This window comes from Homo sapiens, chromosome 15 (genome assembly GCF_000001405.40).
Source record: "Homo sapiens chromosome 15, GRCh38.p14 Primary Assembly".
Classification (NCBI taxonomy): Eukaryota; Metazoa; Chordata; class Mammalia; order Primates; family Hominidae; genus Homo; species Homo sapiens.
The window spans coordinates 87,505,485-87,529,425 of NC_000015.10; the positions used below are offsets into that span (position 1 = coordinate 87,505,485).

General features: G+C 41.0%; 1 long non-coding RNA gene across 1 annotated transcript in view, besides 2 other annotated features; it reads right to left on the minus strand.

Annotated features, from left to right (window-relative positions):
• LOC102724465 (uncharacterized) overlaps nucleotides 1-23,941 on the minus strand; it is a 379,687-nt gene that overhangs the window by 181,316 nt on the left and 174,430 nt on the right. The window lies entirely within an intron of this gene.
• Nucleotides 4,097-4,649: an enhancer, noted in NCBI's record as "H3K27ac-H3K4me1 hESC enhancer chr15:88052812-88053364 (GRCh37/hg19 assembly coordinates)". NCBI's record gives its function as "activates a minimal SCP1, AML or CMV promoter by ChIP-STARR-seq in primed H9 embryonic stem cells {active_cell/tissue: H9 hESC(primed)}" and the evidence as "EXISTENCE:reporter gene assay evidence [ECO:0000049][PMID:30033119]".
• Nucleotides 20,441-20,641: a silencer, noted in NCBI's record as "peak2412 fragment used in MPRA reporter construct". NCBI's record gives its function as "represses an SCP1 promoter by STARR-seq MPRAs in K562 erythroleukemia cells {active_cell/tissue: K562}" and the evidence as "EXISTENCE:reporter gene assay evidence [ECO:0000049][PMID:32103011]".

The window sequence follows — 23,941 nt, forward strand, 5'->3', positions numbered from 1 at the left end:
CTAAAAAACACTTCCTCATAATTACCTAAAAATGAGTGAAGAGGCAGAACTTTGAAAGTTTAGTTAACATTTTTTTTGAGTTCTTGTTTTTGAGTTTGTGTTCTAGTTTTCCTGTTTGGCAAGAAAAGTAGGTATTTGGAGAAGAAAAGGAAAAACAGAAATAGGATGACCATATTTCCTGGTTGTCTGGGACAGTCCCCATTTGTACTCATCAGCCTGGCGAAATTATTAATAATGTCCATTTACAGTCTCAAAATATCCCAGTTTCCACCTGAAGTAGAAACCACCATTTATGAGCTAGCTAATTTATAATCCAACTAAGGGTTAGAGTCCAGGTAGCTATATGTGCATGTGTCTGTATTATACTTTATTTTTCAGTTGAGTCCTTCTCCTAAGTTACTGAATAGGTACAGCCCTAAGTTTTAACAGGCATCTCCTGCCAAAAAGGTGGCTTCCTAAGAATTTGTCAGTTCACACCTCCTCCCCAAGCTCACCACACCTGCTCACACTTTCTCATATAATAGTGACAAGGAAGAAATGAACGTGACTTAAAACAGCATCATGACAAGGATGGCAATGAGCTAGATTTTACATTTTAGCCTAGGATCCCTGTTTCCCTGTAGCTGGATTTCACTCTTAGCTATAGGCCAGGTTGATGAGGAGAATGGCTGAGCATATGGAGGATTTTTCTCATGTCTCCTGACCACTACCAACACTGCCAACCTGGCCTGCCTGGGTCTCCTCCTCTTCATGACCATCAGAGGTAATTTTGCACAAAGCACGCCTTACACTATTCCTAATTTTTCTGTTCAAAAGCCTTGTGTATTTTCTCATTGCTATAGTTAAAACTGTAACTTCTCAGCATGAGCTATACAATATTCATGATATAATAGGAGGATGAGCATAAGGAGAAAAGAATTACAGTCATGATTTGGATACTAAGTAATGGTGTGTGTTTGGCGAAGGTGTTTAATGCCTCAAGGTCTCAGTTTCCCCATGTCTAAATATGAGGTTGGAATAAATACATTCTAAAAACCTTTCCCATACTAAGAGATTATGCGGGACTTGCCCTATTTCTCCTTGGCTTCTCTAACTTGTTTACTCTCTGTTCCACAGAATACACTTTTTAAATTCCTACTATATGGTTTGCACAGGCTGTATTTCCCACTGGGAATGCCCTCTTCCCTCATTATTGCTTCTTTTATCATTGCTTTCAGCCCCACTGACCCAAAAAGCATTAATCACCTACAACCACAGTACTACTTTTATCTGATAAGGGGAGCCATAAATACCCATCTCCACTGACTAAAGCTCTTGCATATCCATGTTGGCCTCAACAGATGCTGAGTTCCTTCTGCCTCTAATTCAGACTGATGATAGCTAATCCAAGAGCTAATTCTATTCCGTTCATCTCTTACTAGCTATTTCTTGGCTGATCCTTTCCCAATAGTCTTCCAGTGAGTATGTCTCCAGAGCCCTAGACCTCCCATGAATGAATGCCACTCATAAATCTAACAACCTATTCTATGTTTCTTACTGAGTACCAAAAAGATATCTCAAACCGCATGCCTCTTCCAACAGCCCGAAACCTGCTTAAGACTTTTCCAAACATGTAAGTAACAGTGTTACCTATCCAATGGTGCGGACCCCCACATTCCTTTTTTCTTCACCCTTGGAATCTGTTTTAGTCTGTTCTCATGCTGCTAAGGAAGACTGGGTAGTTCACAAAGGAAACAGGTTTAATTGACTCACAGTTCCATATGGCTGGGGAGGCCTCACAGTAGTGGTGGAAGGTGAAGGGGAAGCAAGACATGTTTTACATGGCAGCAGGCTAAAGAGCCTGTGCAGAGGAACTCCCTTTTATAAAACCATCAAATCTTGTGAGACTTATTCACTATCACGAGAACAACACAGGAAAGACTCATCCCCATGACTCAATTACCTCCTACCTGGTCCCTCCCACCACACATGGGAATTACAGGAGCTACAATTCAAGATGAGATTTGGGTGGAGACACAGCCAAACCATATCAGAATCTAATCCAAAAGCAAATTCTTTTGGTAATACCTCAAATGTATCTTGCAAAGATGGTCACTTATCACCATCTCTATTGCTACCACCTGAAACCAGAACACCAAAATCTCTTGCCCAGACTGTTGGTTACCCTGTACCTATGTGTCTCACTACTGTCCAATGTCCACATAGCAGCAAGATGATCTTTTTAAATCATTATTAGGGTCTACAGTGGTTCTATCAGCCCCACAAGGCCTGTGCCTTGCTGTTTCTCCCACCTCATGCCTGGCCACTCTTTCACAAATCCCTGCTCTTCTTTCTGCTCCTAGGACACAGCAAGCACATTGATGCCTCATGGCCTTGCACCTGCAGTTTCTGCTGCTCAGATTGCTTCCCTACCCCAGTTATTTGCATCTTTAATTTGCCTCACATTCAAGTCTCCACTCAAATGTCACCTTCTTTAAGACCACCTTCCCCGATGGCCTAACCTGAAGTGGCCCCAATCCCTTCCTGTATCTCTTGATCACATTACCCTGACTTATTTCCTTCCTTCGTGAACTTATTAATATCTGAAGTTTTGGTTGTTGCTGTTTTTTATTTTCCTCTTTCCTCTAATATAAGTTATATGAAGACATGTACCTCATCTGTCATGTTCATCCTTATATTTCCAGTGTTTAACAGGCCACTTGTCACCTAACAGGCATTTAAATTATTTATAGAACGAATGAATGACCCGCAGTGGAATCTGCCTGAGCTATAACAAAATGTTCAGATCACTTACTGTCCACAGAGGCTTCCCTGACCATTGAGCCCAGAGTAGTTTCATCATACCTAAAATCCCCTATGCAGTGTCTCCTTGTGCCTCTTCTAAGGTATTCTTTTGGTTATTGAGCTATTGTCTCTTAACTGACCTTCTTTCACTCTGTGTTGGAATGCTAGGGCTGGAACTTTGCAACCCACATTTCTGATTTGCCAGGTATTTTTTGTTGCTTTCTGCCCATCGGAGCCCTAGAGGAGACTAGGAAATCAGGAGGTGGAAGGGACTCTCTGCTGATTAGCTTCCTGTCCTAGCAACTTGACTCCAGCAATGGTTCCTTACTCTTGCAGAAGCAACTGATTCCATTTTCATTGTCCCCTCTCCTCCAACATTCATACCCATCTGCACACTGCCAGGATTAGCTTCTTTGTGTCTTCCTCTCAGAGACCCGGGTCTCAGCTCCTTGCAAGTCCTACTCTGAATTCTGGAGCACCTATACTAGCTGGGCACCCTCCCTCTTCAGAGCTCTGTGTCCAACCCAGAAAGCCTCTGGCCCCAAGCTCCTATGCTTTAATAGCCCTTTCGTCTTCCTTGTGCTTCTCCAGCCTGAGAGGTTGGTATTTGCTTTCTGAAGTTAGTACCTCTGTCATCTCGATGACCACTTTTGCCTTTTCAGTCATTCAATACCTGTCTCCCTAACTGTTTATATTAAATTCTGAATTCTAAAAGAACTAGTGAGGGCCAGGCATGGTGGCTCATGCCTATAATCCCAGCACTTTGGGAAGCTGAGGTGGGCAGATCACTTGAGGTCAAGAGTTTGAGACCAGCCTGACCAACATGGTGAAACCCTGTCTCTACTAAAAATACAAAAAATAGCCAGGCGTGGTAGCAGGTGCCTGTAATCCCAGCTACTTGGAAGGCTGAGGCAGGAGAACCGTGTGAACCAGGGAGGCACTCCGTCTGAAAAAAAAAGAAAAAAAAGACTAGGTTTTATTTTCCTGAATGGTCCCCAGCTGATAGACGAATGTACAATTTATTGCCTTATACCATTTCCATTTTTTCTCAGGGCATCTTTTATTGGCTCAACTGGCTTGGAAGTTTGTTTAAAGTAGGAATTACCCCCTCATTTAGCCCTGTACCTACTAGCTGGGGTGCCTTACACATTGTAACTGATCAGTATGTGCGTGATGATGATTGACCATTTGTAGTTCTGCAAGGAAATTAGTTCATCTTCCTGTTTTCAGAGGTAGCATTTCAAAACATCTCTGGAGAGAAACTATCGTAATCTTCAAGCCCTCCAGGATAGGAAATTCTTCAAATGTTTAATTGTTAAATGTCTGCTTGTAAGCCCATGCCAGAATCTCTTTGCTGTCAAGAAGTGCTTTCCACATAGACCTGATGGTAGGGACTTGCACAGAGAGGAAATGCTTAGATCTAAGAAGAATGATTATTTTGACAATATATAATGGAACCTTAGCCCCAAATAAATTCTTGCTGTTTTCCAAATAACCGAATTATTGGACTGATCTCAAGTTTAATTCATTCTTTCTCTTCCCCACCCTGGTTTTGTGTACAGAAAGAAAACCTATTTGTTCGATTCACATGAAACTTTCTTATAAATATACTGGACCGAGGCTGGAGGAGCCAAGATGGCCGAATAGGAAGAGCTCCGGTCTACAGCTACTAGCGTGAGCGACGCAGAAGACGGGTGATTTCTGCATTTCCATCTGAGGTACCGGGTTCATCTCACTAGGGAGTGCCAGACAGTGGGCGCAGGCCAGTGTGTGTGCGCACCGTGCGCGAGCCGAAGCAGGGCGAGGCATTGCCTCACCTGGGAAGCGCAAGGGGTCAGGGAGTTCCCTTTCCGAGTCAAAGAAAGGGGTGACGGACGCACCTGGAAAATCGGGTCACTCCCACCCGAATATTGCGCTTTTCAGACCCGCTTAAGAAACGGCGCACCACGAGACTATATCCCACACCTGGCTCAGAGGGTCCTACGCCCACAGAATCTCGCTGATTGCTAGCACAGCAGTCTGAGATCAAACTGCAAGGCGGCAACGAGGCTGGGGGAGGGGCGCCCGCCATTGCCCAGGCTTGCTTAGGTAAACAAAGCAGCCAGGAAGCTCCAACTGGGTGGAGCCCACCACAGCTCAAGGAGGCCTGCCTGCTTCTGTAGGCTCCACCTCTGGGGGCAGGGCACAGACAAACAAAAAGACAGCAGTAACCTCTGCAGACTTAAGTGTCCCTGTCTGACAGCTTTGAAGAGAGCAGTGGTTCTCCCAGCACGCAGCTGGAGATCTGAGAACGGGCAGACTGCCTCCTCAAGTGGGTCCCTGACCCCTGACCCCCGAGCAGCCTAACTGGGAGGCACCCCCCAGCAGGGGCACACTGACACCTCACACGGCAGGGTATTCCAACAGACCTGCAGCTGAGGGTCCTGTCTGTTAGAAGGAAAACTAACAACCAGAAAGGACATCTACACCAAAAACCCATCTGTACATCACCATCATCAAAGACCAAAAGTAGATAAAACCACAAAGATGGGGAAAAAACAGAACAGAAAAACTGGAAACTCTAAAACGCAGAGCGCCTCTCCTCCTCCAAAGGAACGCAGTTCCTCACCAGCAACAGAACAAAGCTGGATGGAGAATGATTTTGACGAGCTGAGAGAAGAAGGCTTCAGACGATCAAATTACTCTGAGCTACGGGAGGACATTCAAACCAAAGGCAAAGAAGTTGAAAACTTTGAAAAAAATTTAGAAGAATGTATAACTAGAATAACCAATACAGAGAAGTGCTTAAAGGAGCTGATGGAGCTGAAAACCAAGGCTCGAGAACTACGTGAAGAATGCAGAAGCCTCAGGAGCCGATGCGATCAACTGGAAGAAAGGGTATCAGCAATGGAAGATGAAATGAATGAAATGAAGCGAGAAGGGAAGTTTAGAGAAAAAAGAATAAAAAGAAATGAGCAAAGCCTCCAAGAAATATGGGACTATGTGAAAAGACCAAATCTACGTCTGATTGGTGTACCTGAAAGTGATGTGGAGAATGGAACCAAGTTGGAAAACACTCTGCAGGATATTATCCAGGAGAACTTCCCCAATCTAGCAAGGCAGGCCAACGTTCAGATTCAGGAAATACAGAGAACGCCACAAAGATACTCCTCGAGAAGAGCAACTCCAAGACACATAATTGTCAGATTCACCAAAGTTGAAATGAAGGAAAAAATGTTAAGGGCAGCCAGAGAGAAAGGTCAGGTTACCCTCAAAGGAAAGCCCATCAGACTAACAGCGGATCTCTCGGCAGAAACCCTACAAGCCAGAAGAGAGTGGGGGCCAATATTCAACATTCTTAAAGAAAAGAATTTTCAACCCAGAATTTCATATCCAGCCAAACTAAGCTTCATAAGTGAAGGAGAAATAAAATACTTTATAGACAAGCAAATGCTGAGAGATTTGGTCACCACCAGGCCTGCCCTAAAAGACCTCCTGAAGGAAGCACTAAACATGGAAAGGAACAACCGGTACCAGCCGCTGCAAAATCATGCCAAAATGTAAAGACCATCGAGACTAGGAAGAAACTGCATCAACTAATGAGCAAAATCACCAGCTAACATCATAATGACAGGATCAAATTCACACATAACAATATTAACTTTAAATATAAATGGACTAAATTCTGCAATTAAAAGACACAGACTGGCAAGTTGGATAAAGAGTCAAGACCCATCAGTGTGCTGTATTCAGGAAACCCATCTCACGTGCAGAGACACACATAGGCTCAAAATAAAAGGATGGAGGAAGATCTACCAAGCCAATGGAAAACAAAAAAAGGCAGGGGTTGCAATCCTAGTCTCTGATAAAACAGACTTTAAACCAACAAAGATCAAAAGAGACAAAGAAGGCCATTACATAATGGTAAAGGGATCAATTCAACAAGAGGAGCTAACTATCCTAAATATTTATGCACCCAATACAGGAGCACCCAGATTCATAAAGCAAGTCCTCAGTGACCTACAAAGAGACTTAGACTCCCACACATTAATAATGGGAGACTTTAACACCCCACTGTCAACATTAGACAGATCAACGAGACAGAAAGTCAACAAGGATACCCAGGAATTGAACTCAGCTCTGCACCAAGCAGACCTAATAGACATCTACAGAACTCTCCACCCCAAATCAACAGAATATACATTTTTTTCAGCACCACACCACACCTATTCCAAAATTGACCACATACTTGGAAGTAAAGCTCTCCTCAGCAAATGTAAAAGAACAGAAATTATAACAAACTATCTCTCAGACCACAGTGCAATCAAACTAGAACTCAGGATTAAGAATCTCACTCAAAGCCGCTCAACTACATGGAAACTGAACAACCTGCTCCTGAATGACTACTGGGTACATAACAAAATGAAGGCAGAAATAAAGATGTTCTTTGAAACCAACGAGAACAAAGACACCACATACCAGAATCTCTGGGACGCATTCAAAGCAGTGTGTAGAGGGAAATTTATAGCACTAAATGCCCACAAGAGAAAGCAGGAAAGATCCAAAATTGACACCCTAACATCACAATTAAAAGAACTAGAAAAGCAAGAGCAAACACATTCAAAAGCTAGCAGAAGGCAAGAAATAACTAAAATCAGAGCAGAACTGAAGGAAATAGAGACACAAAAAACCCTTCAAAAAATCAATGAATCCAGGAGCTGGTTTTTTGAAAGGATCAACAAAATTGATAGACCGCTAGCAAGACTAATAAAGAAAAAAAGAGAGAAGAATCAAATAGACACAATAAAAAATGATAAAGGGGATATCACCACCGATCCCACAGAAATACAAACTACCATCAGAGAATACTACAAACACCTCTACGCAAATAAACTAGAAAATCTAGAAGAAATGGATACATTCCTCGACACATACACTCTCCCAAGACTAAACCAGGAAGAAGTTGAATCTCTGAATAGACCAATAACAGGCTCTGAAATTGTGGCAATAATCAATAGTTTACCAAACAAAAAGAGTCCAGGACCAGATGGATTCACAGCCGAATTCTACCAGAGGTACAAGGAGGAACTGCTACCATTCCTTCTGAAACTATTCCAATCAATAGAAAAAGAGGGAATCCTCCCTAACTCATTTTATGAGGCCAGCATCATTCTGATACCAAAGCCGGGCAGAGACACAACCAAAAAAGAGAATTTTAGACCAATATCCTTGATGAACATTGATGCAAAAATCCTCAATAAAATACTGGCAAACCGAATCCAGCAGCACATCAAAAAGCTTATCCACCATGATCAAGTGGGCTTCATCCCTGGGATGCAAGGCTGGTTCAATATACGCAAATCAATAAATGTAATCCAGCATATAAACAGAGCCAAAGACAAAAACCACATGATTATCTCAATAGATGCAGAAAAAGCCTTTGACAAAATTCAACAACCCTTCATGCTAAAAACTCTCAATAAATTAGGTATTGATGGGACGTATTTCAAAATAATAAGAGCTATCTATGACAAACCCACAGCCAGTATCATACTGAATGGGCAAAAACTGCAAGCATTCCCTTTGAAAACTGGCACAAGACAGGGATGCCCTCTCTCACCGCTCCTATTCAACATAGTGTTGGAAGTTCTGGCCAGGGCAATCAGGCAGGAGAAGGAAATAAAGGGTATTCAATTAGGAAAAGAGGAAGTCAAATTGTCCCTGTTTGCAGATGACATGATTGTTTATCTAGAAAACCCCATTGTCTCAGCCCAAAATCTCCTTAAGCTGATAAGCAACTTCAGCAAAGTCTCAGGATACAAAATCAATGTACAAAAATCACAAGCATTCTTATACACCAACAACAGACAAACAGAGAGCCAAATCATGGGTGAACTCCCATTCACAATTGCTTCAAAGAGAATAAAATACCTAGGAATCCAACTTACAAGGGATGTGAAGGACCTCTTCAAGGAGAACTACAAACCACTGCTCAAGGAAATAAAAGAGGACACAAACAAATGGAAGAACATTCCATGCTCATGGGTAGGAAGAATCAATATCGTGAAAATGGCCATACTGTCCAAGGTAATTTATAGATTCAATGCCATCCTCATCAAGCTACCAATGACTTTCTTCACAGAATTGGAAAAAACTACTTTAAAGTTCATATGGAACCAAAAAAGAGCACGCATTGCCAAGTCAATCCTAAGCCAAAAGAACAAAGCTGGAGGCATCACACTACCTGACTTCGAACTATACTACAAGGCTACAGTAACCAAAACAGCATGGTACTGGTACCAAAACAGAGATATAGATCAATGGAACAGAACAGAGCCCTCAGAAATAATGCCGCATATCTACAACTATCTGATCTTTGACAAACCTGAGAAAAACAAGCAATGGGGAAAGGATTCCCTATTTAATAAATGGTGCTGGGAAAACTGGCTAGCCATATGTAGAAAGCTGAAACTGGATCCCTTCCTTACACCTTATACAAAAATCAATTCAAGATGGATTAAAGATTTAAACGTTAGACCTAAAACCATAAAAACCCTAGAAGAAAACCTAGGCATTACCATTCAGGACATAGGCGTGGGCAAGGACTTCATGTACAAAACACCAAAAGCAATGGCAACAAAAGCCAAAATTGACAAATGGGATCTAATTAAACTAAAGAGCTTCTGCACAGCAAAAGAAACTACCATCAGAGTGAACAGGCAACCTACAACATGGGAGAAAATTTTCGCAACCTACTCATCTGACAAAGGGCTAATATCCAGAATCTACAATGAACTCAAACAAATTTACAAGAAAAAAACAAACAACCCCATCAAAAAGTGGGCGAAGGACATGAACAGACACTTCTCAAAAGAAGACATTTATGCAGCCAAAAAACACATGAAGAAATGCTCATCATCACTGGCCATCAGAGAAATGCAAATCAAAACCACTATGAGATATCATCTCACACCAGTTAGAATGGCAATCATTAAAAAGTCAGGAAACAACAGGTGCTGGAGAGGATGTGGAGAAATAGGAACACTTTTACACTGTTGGTGGGACTGTAAACTAGTTCAACCATTGTGGAAGTCAGTGTGGCGATTCCTCAGGGATCTAGAACTAGAAATACCATTTGACCCAGCCATCCCATTACTGGGTATATACCCAAAGGACTATAAATCATGCTGCTATAAAGACACATGCACACGTATGTTTATTGCGGCACTATTCACAATAGCAAAGACTTGGAACCAACCCAAATGTCCAACAATGATAGACTGGATTAAGAAAATGTGGCACATATACACCATGGAATACTATGCAGCCATAAAAAATGATGAGTTCATATCCTTTGTAGGGACATGGATGAAATTGGAAACCATCATTCTCAGTAAACTATCACAAGAACAAAAAACCAAACACCGCATATTCTCACTCATAGGTGGGAATTGAACAATGAGATCACATGGACACAGGAAGGGGAATATCACACTCTGGGGACTGTGGTGGGGTCGGGGGAGGGGGGAGGGATAGCATTGGGAGATATACCTAATGCTAGATGACACATTAGTGGGTGCAGCGCACCAGCATGGCACATGTATACATATGTAACTAACCTGCACAATGTGCACATGTACCCTAAAACTTAGAGTATAATAAAAAAAAAAAAAAAAAAAGGCAGTCTCATAGAAATGGAAAGTAGAAAAGTGGTTACGAGGCAGGAGAATGGCATGAGCCCAGGAGACGGAGCTTGCAGTGAGCCGAGATCGTGCCACTGCACACCAGCCTGGGCCACAGAGCGAGACTCTTGTCTCAAAAAAAAGAAAGAAAAGAAAAGAAAAGAAAAGTGGTTACCAGAGGCTAGCAGGAGAACGGAAGATGGGGAAAGGGGAGATGATAGTGAAAGGGTACACAGTTTCAGTTAGACTGGAGGAACACATTTTAGTGAACTATTGCACCGCATGGTGCCCTTGCACCACCCTGAGTAGAGCTTACAGACCCCTCTTCCTCCCTGAGAAGGAAGGTATTCTCAGTGAACACTGCCCCCGACCCTAAGTGAATTAGAAAGACTTTCTCTCTACCTAATGTCTGTCACAGCACTTACCACGCACTTACCATAATTATCTATCTACAAACCTAGACTGTAAGGCTTGAGCAGCAAGTACTTTTGTATCCCAGTACCTAGATCAGTGTCAAGCTCGTAGGAGGTTCTCAGGCCCCATGGTGTAGTGGTTAAAAGTATAAACTTTATAATAATCCACCCAAATCTCAAACCCCTTTGCTAAATATAAGTTCTCATTTAGAGTAAGCAAAACATTTGAGGCTTCATTTCCTTAGTGGTGAGAATGAGATAAATATAGTAATATCTACTTCATAGTTGCCTTAAGAATATGAAATAAGAATAATGAATGAATGAGAGAAAGAATGAGTGAGCGAACCCATCCACCAACCAACTTCTCAAAGAACCCCACTGTCCCCAAAACTCTCCTTGTGTTCTGGAATTCTGTTAGAGCTTTTGAAAAAAGAAAGCACAGCTTAGATTTGGCTAAGACCAACCTGAATTCAATCAATTCTAAAACAAAATCAAGAAAGAAAAAAAGAAAGCCTGCATCAACCAGTCACTACTTTCTATTTTTCTAGGAGGTGGGAATATGGACAGGACTGATCTCTGTAGCTCCTTTTTTGAACTTGGGACGATCTCAGATCTCACCTGTGGCGATTTCACAGCATAGCAGTAGAGGGTTAAAACTTATATGAACTTCGTTTGAACTTTGTATGGGCTCCTCTCTTACTTTAAAAAGTTTTACATTAAACTTTGTAATGTAAGGAGAACATGCAATTTAAATTAAAGAATTGGAGGAGATTTGGGTATTTAAAAAAAAAAAATATACTGGACTGAAATTAGCTCTTCCCACAAAAATTAAAGGTGTATTAAAGTTTGTTTTCAAAGATATAATATTTTGAAACTGTGTGGGCTTTCATTTCTGCCTTCCTTAGCCATTAACGACTAGAGTCCTTCAGGCCTGGTGCTCATGCTTAAGGCTCTATGTCTACACTGACGGGGTAAAAAGTGCCTTAGAAGCACCAGCAGGTGGAAGTGGGATTTACTACGCTGCCATCTATCTGGTATCCAAAGTGTCAGGAGTGCCCTCTGCACTGCGTGCCCAATGCCACAGCTCTTTCCTGATGTGCAGGTGATCCAGCCTCAATAACTGGGTTGTTGTCTTCTAGTTCCTGATTCTGTTTTTTGTTGTTTTTTTTTTGAGATGGAGTCTTGCTCTGTCACCCAGGCTAGACAGCAGCGGCGCAATCTCAGCTCACTTCAACCTGTGCCTCCCGGGTTCAAGCGATTCTCCTGCCTCAGCCTCCTAAGGAGCTGAGATTACAGGCGCCCGCCACTGCGCCTGGCTAATTTTTGCATTTTTACTAGAGACGGGGTTTCACCAACTTGGCCAGGCTGGTCTCGAACTCCTGACTTCATGATCAGCCTCCCAAAGTGCTGGGATTACAGGTGTGAGCCACCATGCCTGGCTTAGTTCCTGCTTTTTATGCTTGATCTAGTGGAGTCCCATCCTGAAATGCAGCCTGCTTGAACCCTTACTAGTTATTATAAACCCTATACTTTGAGGCTGGATAGCACTCCGTTTAGCCCCTGGCCACTCCTCTCTGCCACCACCCCTAGATTGGCCTCTACTTTCCCACACACACTCCTGTCTCCTTGGACACTGCAGTTTTCTTTGTCACTTTCAATACTGGTATGTGAGCTATCAGCTACTTCCCTTCTATCTGGTGGGTTCCTGGGACTCTTGTTCTCTCTGGTTCTGACCTCCTTGCCTTTCTCTTCTGCTGAGGTATCCATACATCCATTTGCCAAGCCCATGTCAGGTGCAATACTATGGATCATCACATGAATTAGAAGCCAAACAGTAAGGAACTCCCCCCAACCACCGTTTCTAACATCTCATGGGGAATGTTGGGTTCTTCTAGGGGCCAAGATCATCTGCCCTGTCTGGGGAAATGCACTGGCCCTTTCTCTAAGGAAATTAGGTTTCCCACTCTTGTTTAGTGATGATTAGCTATTTCAACCTCCCAGATCTTACTTTCAACCACACAGTTGCTCCATGCTGACTTTAACATAACAGCACTGATTTCCATATATAATGTATGAAATTGGTCTTCTTACTTTGACATTACCCCTTAGTAACTGAAAACACAACAAAAAAATCTCCTTCTTCAGGTTATATCATGTTGTCATAAGCCAATCATTTGTAGGTGTTATCCAGTAACACTAATATGTTAACCTATTATAATATTTATAACCAATATAATAGTTGTTATTATGTGTCAACACTATTTTTTTGTGCTACTCAGATATTAACTCACATAAGTCTCACAGAAATCCCATAAAATAGGTTTTATTCTTTTCTCTATTTTATGCATAAGAAACTGAGAAACAAAGCTCCATCCAGCAACTTTCACCAAGTTTGGTAGGAAAGCTCATTACAGGACCCATGCGGTTGAAGTCTAGAGCTCAAACTCAATCATTATTCTCTGCTAATTTTTGCAGTGAGAGCAATTTCTCTCCATTTCTTATTCTATCTTGATTCCCAATAGGTCTCACAGAACAGAGGGGCGAACCTCTTCCTAGTAGCGTTCTCACATGGTTAAGGGCTCTGGAATCTTATAGTCCTGGACTCTAGTCTCAACTTCCCATATGTAAGCTGCATGACCCAGATAAATTACTAACCTGAGTCTTCATTTTCTCAACTGCTGCTTTTTCTTTTTCCTGACACCACTTCGGACACCAAATAGTTGTCCAACAATTCAATTTAATTCTGACATAAACTATTTGAATTTAGTGCAGACCTCACAAGGCAAGGGCTCAGAATCACAACGCTGCCCCCAGCTGCAAATCCCAGGAGCTACCTGTACCTCTGACCAACAGGCTATAAATTGGAGGTTCCCTCTACCCTCACCTCCATTTCAACAATTCACCAGAGCTACTCCTCAGAAAACACTTTACTAATGTTTATTGGTTTATTATAAAGGATATAACCCCAGGAGAGTCAAATGGAAGAGATGCATAGGGTAAGGTACGGGGTGCAGGAGACAGTTTTTATGCCCTCTCCAGGAATACAACCTCCCCAGCAGCAAAGGTCAGGGTTAGGACTGAAAGTTCCAACCCTCTAATTAGCAATTAGATTTTATCACTCAGGAGATTCCAAGGATTTTAGGAGTGCAGAGCCAGGAACCAAGAACAAAGACCAAATATGATGTATTTTTATTATACCATAACAACAAAAGAGGCAAAAGACTATTTATCTCATGGACTTAAATTAGACAGACTGTGAAATAAGATTGATGAAGTGGTACATTGAGAAACCTAAAACAAATGGGCTTTTTTCAAGTAGCCCCGTGGGCTGCTCTACTTCCTCACTGCCATTTTCATTTCTGCATTGCCCCATTGTAAGTCACATCAAGCATTGCCCCATTGTAAGTCACAACGGGACATGCATCAGCAAGTTATTTGAGAATTCCTGGTACATTTAACATCAAGTGATCCAATGCACTATTGTTCCGGGTCATGGGTGATCAAATGCACTATTGTTCCGGGTCATGGGTGATGTCTCCCAAGCATGAAAGGCAACAAAATCAATTATGAGGTTTTACTGAGCACCTATTGCATGCAGCCTACTGTATCAGTCATTGGAGATACCAAGATGTTCAAAATCAAAGTTGCCTTGTTGAGTCCTCTTTCTCCATCCCCCGGTTCGTTGATCTCCAGTTTGTCCTAACATTCCGTTTAGAACTTTCCCCCAGTGTCCACACAATTACTGGTGTCTGTAATATCATCTGCACCCCATCATTTGTCTGTTAAAATGCCCACCACTATTTATAAGTGCCTATCTCAATGCCATTTCCTTCAGGGTGTCCATTTCTCCAGGACAATCCTCTTAGCAGAATTACTTTTTGCTTTCTGCATGATCATGCAGCACCTTGATCGCTTCTGGCTTTAATTATCGAGGGTTTTGTGTGCAAGCTTTATTGGGCTTTCAGATTGAAAGTTCTTGGAAGGCAAATGTATCATCCCACCCATCTTCTAAATAACCCAGTGTTCTGTACAGAATGGACTGGGAATGGATGTTCATTGAATTAAACAGATTCAAATCTAATCAACCATCACCAGCAGAGATCAACTATAGTTATGAACTCCTTCTTCCGGCTTAAGCCTACCCTATTTGAGAGCTAGTGTTGACTCGGGCATTTTAGAAGAGTTTAATTCCACAGATGATTAATCTCGTTTTTTTATGTGTTGATTTTTCCTAGTTTTCCTCGCAGAGGGTAATTCACTTCTAAGTTTCAGGAGCACTTTATTGTAGCCTCTCATTTATGGACTATAATAATAATACCCATCATATATTGGATGCTTATTATGCATGAGTCACTGTGTTAAGTGCTTTATGTAAGTTCATCGATTTAATTTCCACAATAGCCCTGTGAGATGTGGAGTTTTGTGTTTATTTTTAATATTGTTTGACCTCATTTTACAGATAAGAGAACTAAGATTCAGAGAGATAAATGAAATTTCCATATGCCCAGGGGCAAACTTAACCCTTAACAATTTTTCTCTCTGTCATTATTCTCTTGAGCATATTGGGTTGGGTAGCACCTGCCTTAAAGACCAGTCATGCAGGAAGGCCAGGTTCCATAACCCTATTCCCACCAAAAGTTCTACCCATTCCCAGTAATCTCTCCTTCCCCATTGTCCCAGTTCAGGTAGGTGTTAACACACTTCCAGATACAGCCTGCTGAAGCTATAACGAGAATATGTACATAAAGAGAGACATTTTTTTTTTGTGTTGCAGCTTAAATTCCCAATGAACGATACAGACCATGCATCCAAAAGAATTATGGAGAATGCTAAGACGATGAAAGCTTGAAGCATTCAATGCCATTGTCATGTAGGAAATGGAATCCAAGCCTTGAGGAAAACACAACCCAGGCAGATTGAGAACAGTTAGAAGAGTCCCTCAGATGGGAAATATCCTGAGCCAAGTTTCAGAGACAGCAATGCACCGATTGCCCTTAGGGGAACAAGAGCAGTGTTTTTACAGAGAAATAAGAGGAAAATGTTATTTGAAGAGTGGGCCAAGATTATGAAAGTGCACAGAATGGCAAGATAAAAAAATCTGGTGTGCAGTGTCTGTATTCAGAAGTTTATTTTCCACCAATAGGATTTTCACATGTAAGGAGCCCATAGGTTAAAATATGCTTGTTTGACTACCAGGAATTAAGGAACTTCAGCTATGATTTGTAGTTCCTCTAAAGTCAACTAGAGGCCATTCCTACTAGGCTAAAAGGAAGAGTTCTTCATCCTACAAGTTTTCTGAGCTGTACAAATTAAAGGTCTATTATTTTATTTAAAAATACACATTAGTAGATATTCAATTTTCTAAGCCTGAGGCTGAATTCACCAGCATATGGCTACTGCTTGAACTCACTGTCATTACCATGCACATGCCAACCGATCATTTATTATTGTGTCAGCCATAATACATTAGTAGTAAATACCTGTAGGATCAGCCAAGTTATCTTTAAATTACACTGCAAGCTACATGAAAATGAAGACCATATCTCAAATTGCGGTACTTAGACTCAGACCCTATTGCCAAAGTTGCCATTCTAACATGCAAGAAATTAAACATGTCCCTCTTCAATAAATCCTCCAGAGAAAGAGAAAGACATATTTGTTATGAGGAATTGGCTCATGCAATTATGGAGCCTGAGAAGTCCCATGATCTGCCATCTGCCATCTGCAAGCTATAGACTGAGGGAAGCTGGTGACGTAATTCTATCTGGGTTTAAAGGTCCAAACCAGGAGAGCCAATGGTGTAAACTCCAGTCTGAAGGCAAGAGAAGTTGAGAAGATGTCCTTACTCAAGCAGGCAGGCCAGAAAAAAGGGTCTCTTTTCTCTACCTTTTGTTCTACTGAAGCCCTGAAAAGAGTGGAGGATGTCTACCTGTCCTGGAGAGGGCAATCTACTTTATTGAATCCACTGATTCAAAGGTCAGTCTCATGCAGAAACATCGTCACAGACACGTCCAGAAACAATGTTCAATCTAGGCACCCCATGGCCTGCTCAAGGTGACACAAACAATTAGCCATCACATACTGCTTTCCATATCTGGCTGCAATTGACTTTGAACCCAAAAGCCCAGCTATATTCACTCTTTGCAATTTCCCCAACTCTAGAGATTTGCATATGCCATCTCTTCAGCCTGGAAATACCTTTTCCTAAAAATGTAACATGTTTCAAAAAGATTTTGTAATTTATTCAACATTTATTTTATTTCTTGTAATTAGTTACAAGTTGATTAAGCATTTATTTATTTTATGCCTATTACTGAGTTTGCATAAGACTCACAAGAGTTTGCTAAGGAAGATATTATTAGCACTCTCTTTTCATAGATGAGAAATCGAGGCTCAAAGATCTGAAGATATCTTCCTAAGGTCACAGTCCACAAAGTGCCAGAGCCAGGATTTGAACCCAGAAACATGTGTGTTCTAAACTTTTAAACCACATCACTTGTTGTGCAAGAATGGGAGGCCCCTTGGAGGGGCAAAATATAATCTTACTGCAGAACTCAGATTTCACCACTGCCTGAGGACTTGCAATAATGAACAACACGTCTGGGGAAATTAATCTACAAAATCTCTCCCCCTAGGGAATAAGCGGTTGCATTTTCTCACCTGAAAATTCTTTCCTCTGAGGTGCCAGTAGCAAATGCCTTTTATTTGGTGGATTCAGCTGTAAGCATGGCTCTCAGTGCCCAACAGGTCTAGCTGAATATTTGGCACGTTACCTGAGATGAAGCAAGCTCATAGATTTCCTTTCCTCCCTCCTGTCTCTTGGGAACAGCTCTATTCACACAGTAGTATGTCTCATCTCTTCCAGCCTCAGTGTTTTAAATGGGAATGTCAATATGACTGCATAAAGGCTCACAGGTCACCAGGGAATTGGCAATCTCATCTGCAATGAGCCCTTTACACTAAGGCTGAATAGCCAGGGTATGATGTCCCAGAAGAAAAAGAAATGAAACCTAGAGTAAAATCATTGTTTAAAGCAGCATGTCCCAAGTGTGTTCCTCAGACCAATCTTGTGACATGCTCTGTGAAAAAAAGTTTCAATTGATGCATCATAAATTTTATGTTTTATAAATATTGCTTACTAAATTCCTATCTTAAAGATTCACACTTTACACTAGAATACTAAAGGCTCTGAGAAGTCCTGTAATATGGACATTAATCCAAATTTCTGAATCATTTGGGTGTAGAACATCTCTTTCCTTTCTTTGATTTTCATCATATCTATTAACAACTCACAGAATTAACATTCTGTGAATCACAGTTTCGGGAATTGCCCAAACTGATTTAAAGCAGCTATTGAATTGCTATTTTTAGACTATCTGGTTATATCTAGAATCATACCACTGGGAAGAAGCAAAAGTCCAACTTGTAAGTCCTTCGTATTCATAAAATGTTTATAAGAACAGCTGGCTCTTTCTTTTCAAATGCTTTCTTAAACTGCCTGCAATCCAAGCAGCCACCAGCACTGACAGTCCTGGAACAGACAGCACTAAGAATATGTCCCAAGCACAGCCCTAGATACCATCTTTCTTCCTATAAGAAAATTTATTCATTGATGCCTCTTGCCTATGTTGCTTCTTTTCAGCAGTTGAGTTCAAGTTGTTTGAATAGAACTATTAGAATATTCACCTAACTGGTCTGTCTGCCCTCAGTGTCAGCTTGCTCTAGTCCAAACAGAATATGCACTGAAGACCAGTTTGTTTTTCTAAAAGAATATGATGATCAAAGATGTAAACAAAAATCACGTTCTCTTGCCATTCTACCACTTTCTGTATAGTGGCTTGGTAACCACATTGTCTCCTCATGGTTACAATGTGGCTGCTATAGCTCCAGGCATCAGTAATATTGAAAGAGAAAGTTGTTTTCTCATTATTAGCATATGAATTGTGTTCCCTTGAAATTTATATTTTAAATTCTTAACCAAGAGTAGCTCAAAATATGACCTTATTTGAACATAGGGTCGTTAAAAAAGTAATCAAGTTAAAATGAAGTCATTAGAATGGACCCTAATACAATATTACTGGTGTCATCATAAAAAAGGAGATTGTTGGACACAGAAACAGGCATATAGAGAAAACACCATGTGAACATTAAGATTGCCATCGAAAAGCTAAGAGAAACTTGGAAGAGCTCCTTCCTTTACAGCCCTCAGAAGTAGCCAACCCTACCGACACATTGATTATGGACCTCTGGTCCCCATAACTGTAATAAATTTTTGTTGCTTAAGCCACCCAGTTTGTGGTACTTTATTACAACAGGCCTAGAAAACTAATATACTTCCTCTTCTTATTAGTTTGGAAAATCCAACCGAGAAATACCCTAGAAGCTTTCTTCATGCTTAAGTCAATTAGTGAAAAGGAAAACGCAATGACTGGCTTAAATCATTACCCAACCCTGGAAGTGGAAAAAAAAAGTCCCTTTCCCTTAGCATATGGGAAGGTGAATTCTGAAAAAAAAAAAAAAAAAAAAGGAAGAAAACACAAAATAGACCTTGGCCAACATGATACAGGACAGAGAAATGACTTTCGAAGCAATTACATCTATCAGGTATTAGGCACCATGCAAGACACAGGACTTCAAAGACACATGAGGAAAGAATTCCTGTTCTGAGTCCTCAGGAAATGATATTGAAAAAGCAGCACCTGAGGAAGCAGAAGAAAAACTAGGAGTGAAATGCGGCATGGAAGCCAATGAAGAGAGTTCCTAGAAGGGAAGCTATTCAGTGCCACAAAGCAGACAGGTGGGATGAGTACTGAGAAGAAAATACTAGATTTGGCATTTAAGGAGTCAATGTGATTTCACTAAGAATAATTTCAGCTAGGTGGGGGTGTCTTATACCTGTAATTCAGCACTCTGGGGGGCATGAGGATTGCTTGAACCTACCTCAAAAATCAGCCTTTGAGCAACATAGTGAGAGCCCCCAATCTCTACAAAAAAAAAATAAAAATAAAAATAGCGGCCGGGCACGGTGGCTCATGCCTGTAATCCCAGCACTTTGGGAGGCTGAGGTGGGCGGATCCTGAGGTCAGGAGATCGAGACCATCCTGGCTAATATGGTGAAACTCCATCTCTACTAAAAATACAAAAAATTAGCCGGGCGTGGTGGCAGGTGCCTGTGGTCCCAGCTACTCGGGAGGCTGAGGCAGGAGAATGGCGTGAACCCAGGAGGCGGAGCTTGCAGTGAGCCGAGATCGCGCCACTGCACTCCAGCCTGGGTGACAGAGTGAGACTCCGTCTCAAATAAATAAAATAGCCTGGTGCGGTGGCACACACCTGTAATCCCAGCTACTCAGAAGGGAGGCTGAAGGGGCAGGATCGCTTAAGCCCAGGAGTTAGAGGCTACAGTAAACCATGATTGCTCCACTTGCGCTCCAGCCTGGGCAACAGCAAAGCATATATTTCATGTGACAAGATTTATGGAGTAAAGAAAATAATTCAGTGGAAGAGAATTGTGGAAAAGATATTTCAAGTCCCATGCCTAAAAAACAAGTATTTGCTGTTAATTTTCACCATTCAGGGTAAGCACTTCTTTGCCATTCATTTGTTTTCTTCTTTATGAAGGGAGTTAAGTTAGTGCCATAGCCTTGGCCTCTTTCCACATCTTTCCTTATTCCACTTCGGTGGGCTAGAGTGCATTATCTGAACAGCCATGCTTTCTTTATCAGCTCTTCCTTTACCTCTTGGGAACAAGACAGCACATGCAAATCAAGTTTCCCAGTTCCATGTAAGTCTGTCTTACATAGAGGGCCTGCTCTGGCTTAGAATTGCACATGACTCAGTGGGTACATCTTTCTGCTGATGTTAACTTCATAGGTTAGCATTATTGATAATGAAGTGATCATTGGCCTCCATCTATCTTATGCTTTGTCTTATTTCTTAGTGGTTTCAAATATAAAGTAGGGACAAGAGGTCCTATTTAATGGTCTCTTTCATCCCCATGGCCATATACATAGCTACAGAGATTGGATGTGCCTCTGGAAAGCTTCTTCTGCAAAGAATAGCTCAAAAATCAACCCAGGTAGCAGAGTAACATAGCTATCATTGCTTTCCCCATACCATAAAATAGCAAAAGTGTTCAAGAGATTCCATAGTTTCTGAAAAACACTTGATTGGACAATTTTACTACCGCTCTACCTCCCCTTGTTATTAAGCATAAATTACAGATTTACAGTGCAGATAGTTACTACTATGCCTCTAATTAATGGCAGTTAAATCAGTAATTCCCATAAAGTTTAATAAAGTCAATTTATTGATTCATAGGTAATACCACTTCTACTTATTTTAATTTTTACCCAATATTTCAAATCTGAGTAGAGGTTGTCATAAACAGAGTAATAAGCAATAAATATGGTTGGCTAGATGGACAAGCAGTAAATATGGTTGGCTAGATGGACTGGTGACAGGATGGAAATGAGAAATACATGAATGGTTTAAGATTTCCTGAAGAAAAGCAGTTGGACTTGAGTGTCTTCAGCTTCTTACTCATGAAATCATGAGTGCATGTTCTTGCCAAGAACCCATCTCACTCAAGTCGAATTCTGCTGTTTAGGTACTTACAGAATTCATACATGTTTCTGCATGAGCCTTTCCAAACTTCCAATTTCACCTCCAGCTTTCCCATTCTGATTTCAGGCATTTACATTACTGGAGCAACTGGAGGCTACACAGATTTCTAAGACAAATGATCTTTCTAGGAAAATGTAACCAAGATTAAATCAAGACTGCTCATTATAAGCCCAACACATTAAGCACATCAATGCCCCCATAAGTGCCTCTGCATCAATCAGGATTTATCACAGAAGCGGAATCACTGTGAGTGATATGGAGTAAGGAGGTATTACGAGGATTATACTTTAATCTATACAGAAGCTGGTGGAAGAGGCCATGTATCTGGAACTGATTCTAAGTAGGTATAGATCAGCCAAACCAGCAGTTGGGAAGAAAAGATGAGTGTGGACAGCAGCAAAGACAAACTATAATTCACAAAGATGAACTAAAACCTGCAAAGAAAATAGAAACCTCTGAGGAAAACCGGAACACACATCTTTCAGCACTTGTAACCTGGATTCTGTGGATGACATGCAGGATAAGCTGGTATCCTTTGCCTTGGGATTGCAGGCACATTGGTTGAGGACTTAGAAAAACTGAAAGAGGAGTCAGTGAGAACTGGAGTCACTGGAGCTCCAGGTGCTGCTCCATGCCTGCAAGGTGAGTCATCAGGTCAGCAACAGCATGCATGAGCTGCCCCAGTGCCAAATGCCATCCATCAACCTTCTGAGAATAAAAAATACACTGCCTCGCATTTACCTCCAAATCTCTCGGGTGGCAAATATTAATGGGACTGTTAAGGGAAGAGGATTACGGAAAACAGATTCTGTCTATTAATATTGCTACATAACAAATGCCCACAAAATCTAGCTGCATAACTATATCTCACAGTTTTTATGGGCCAAGGATCCAGGAAGTGCTTGGCTCTATGTCTGTGGTTTGAGATCTCTCCTGCACTTACTGTAAAACAGGGTCTGGCTTTGGAAGAGCAGGAAGGTGGAGCAGGTGGGGACTGCAGTTGCAGGACCTCTCTGTGTGGCCTCTCCATGTAGGCTAGTTTTGGTTTCTCCAGGGCAGCCGGGCTGCTAACATGGCTGCAGGCTTCAAGAGCAAGTATTCAGTGAGGACAGCAGAAATAGCATGACCTTTTACAATCTAGCCTCAGAAGTCATATGGCATCACTTCCAGGATGTTGCATTGTTTCAAACAGTCATAAAAGTGCACCCAGGTTCAATGGAGGAGGAATTAGAGTCTACCTCTTGATGGAGGAATCGTAAGGGTCTGGAAGAGCACATGGAATGAAAGATCCTGTTGGCATACTTCTTTCTTTCAGTATGTCTAGCCAGAAGATCTATGCAGAAATCAGCATCTGAATTTTTTCACTTTATTTATTTTCTGGTAACTCCTAAGTCAAACAATAACAATAAATACCAGATAAATGTAAATTCTGTTTGTAGTTCTTGACATAATTGGGATGTATTCCTAAGTATGATTATGATAATACCTGCTATATATTCCTAACATTGAGACAACAATATCTAGGGGATGAGACAGAAAGAAAAATGAAGCCCACATTAAAATTACTACATAAAATTTTAAAGTAGTTATTGTTTTAACCTCTCTGGGCTTCAGTTTTGTCAACCGTGAAATGAAGACACCCTACATAAATGACTTACTTCATCTTCCATCAGTTTCTTGAATCTACAATAAAGAAGACCATATTTAAACACCCTCTACAAGATGAAGACCTTTTTTTTAACAAAGTGAACAAGAAAACCAGTATTTAGGAATGATGTATTTGATTGCTTTTTCCTAGATTTGAAATTTACATGTGAGATGTTAAGAGCAATATTAAGAAATATAACTCTGAATCTCCTTCCAATGCTTCTGATTTTCAGACATGTACAGTGCCTTTTATCTGCAGAAAAGTACAACATGATTCAAAGATAAACCAATTTTGAGAAACAGAGATGGATTAATAAAATATTTACTGTTCAAGAAAGAAAAGAAAGCTTCTATAATTCTCCTACATTTCTCTTCATTATAACCCTACAGAATGTTTGCTCATGTGAGTCACAAATGAATCTGGGGAAGAATCTAGCAGAGGGTTTTGATTAAATGGTATGCTGAATAAACAATGCTGAGACATTTTAATGAGGTCACATAAAAAGGCTGTGTGGAAAAGAAATATTTTAAAAATCACTTTGAGGCTCTATCCTTAAATCATTTCCTGGAGAACTGGGCTCTATTTCTTCTCATTGTACCATTAACCAAAGACTTTAAATCCTCTCACTGATTTTGCTACCATGAATGATCCATGGCTCCTTAGCACATAGATTTCCATTTCTGTGTTTCTGAAAATTATTGAGGCTCATTCTATGAGCCTGATTTCAATAATGAAATCAGGTAAATAAATGCCCTGTTTAAAGCTAATGGCATTTAGTTACTTCTTCACATAAGTCAAAAGCAAAGTTAAAT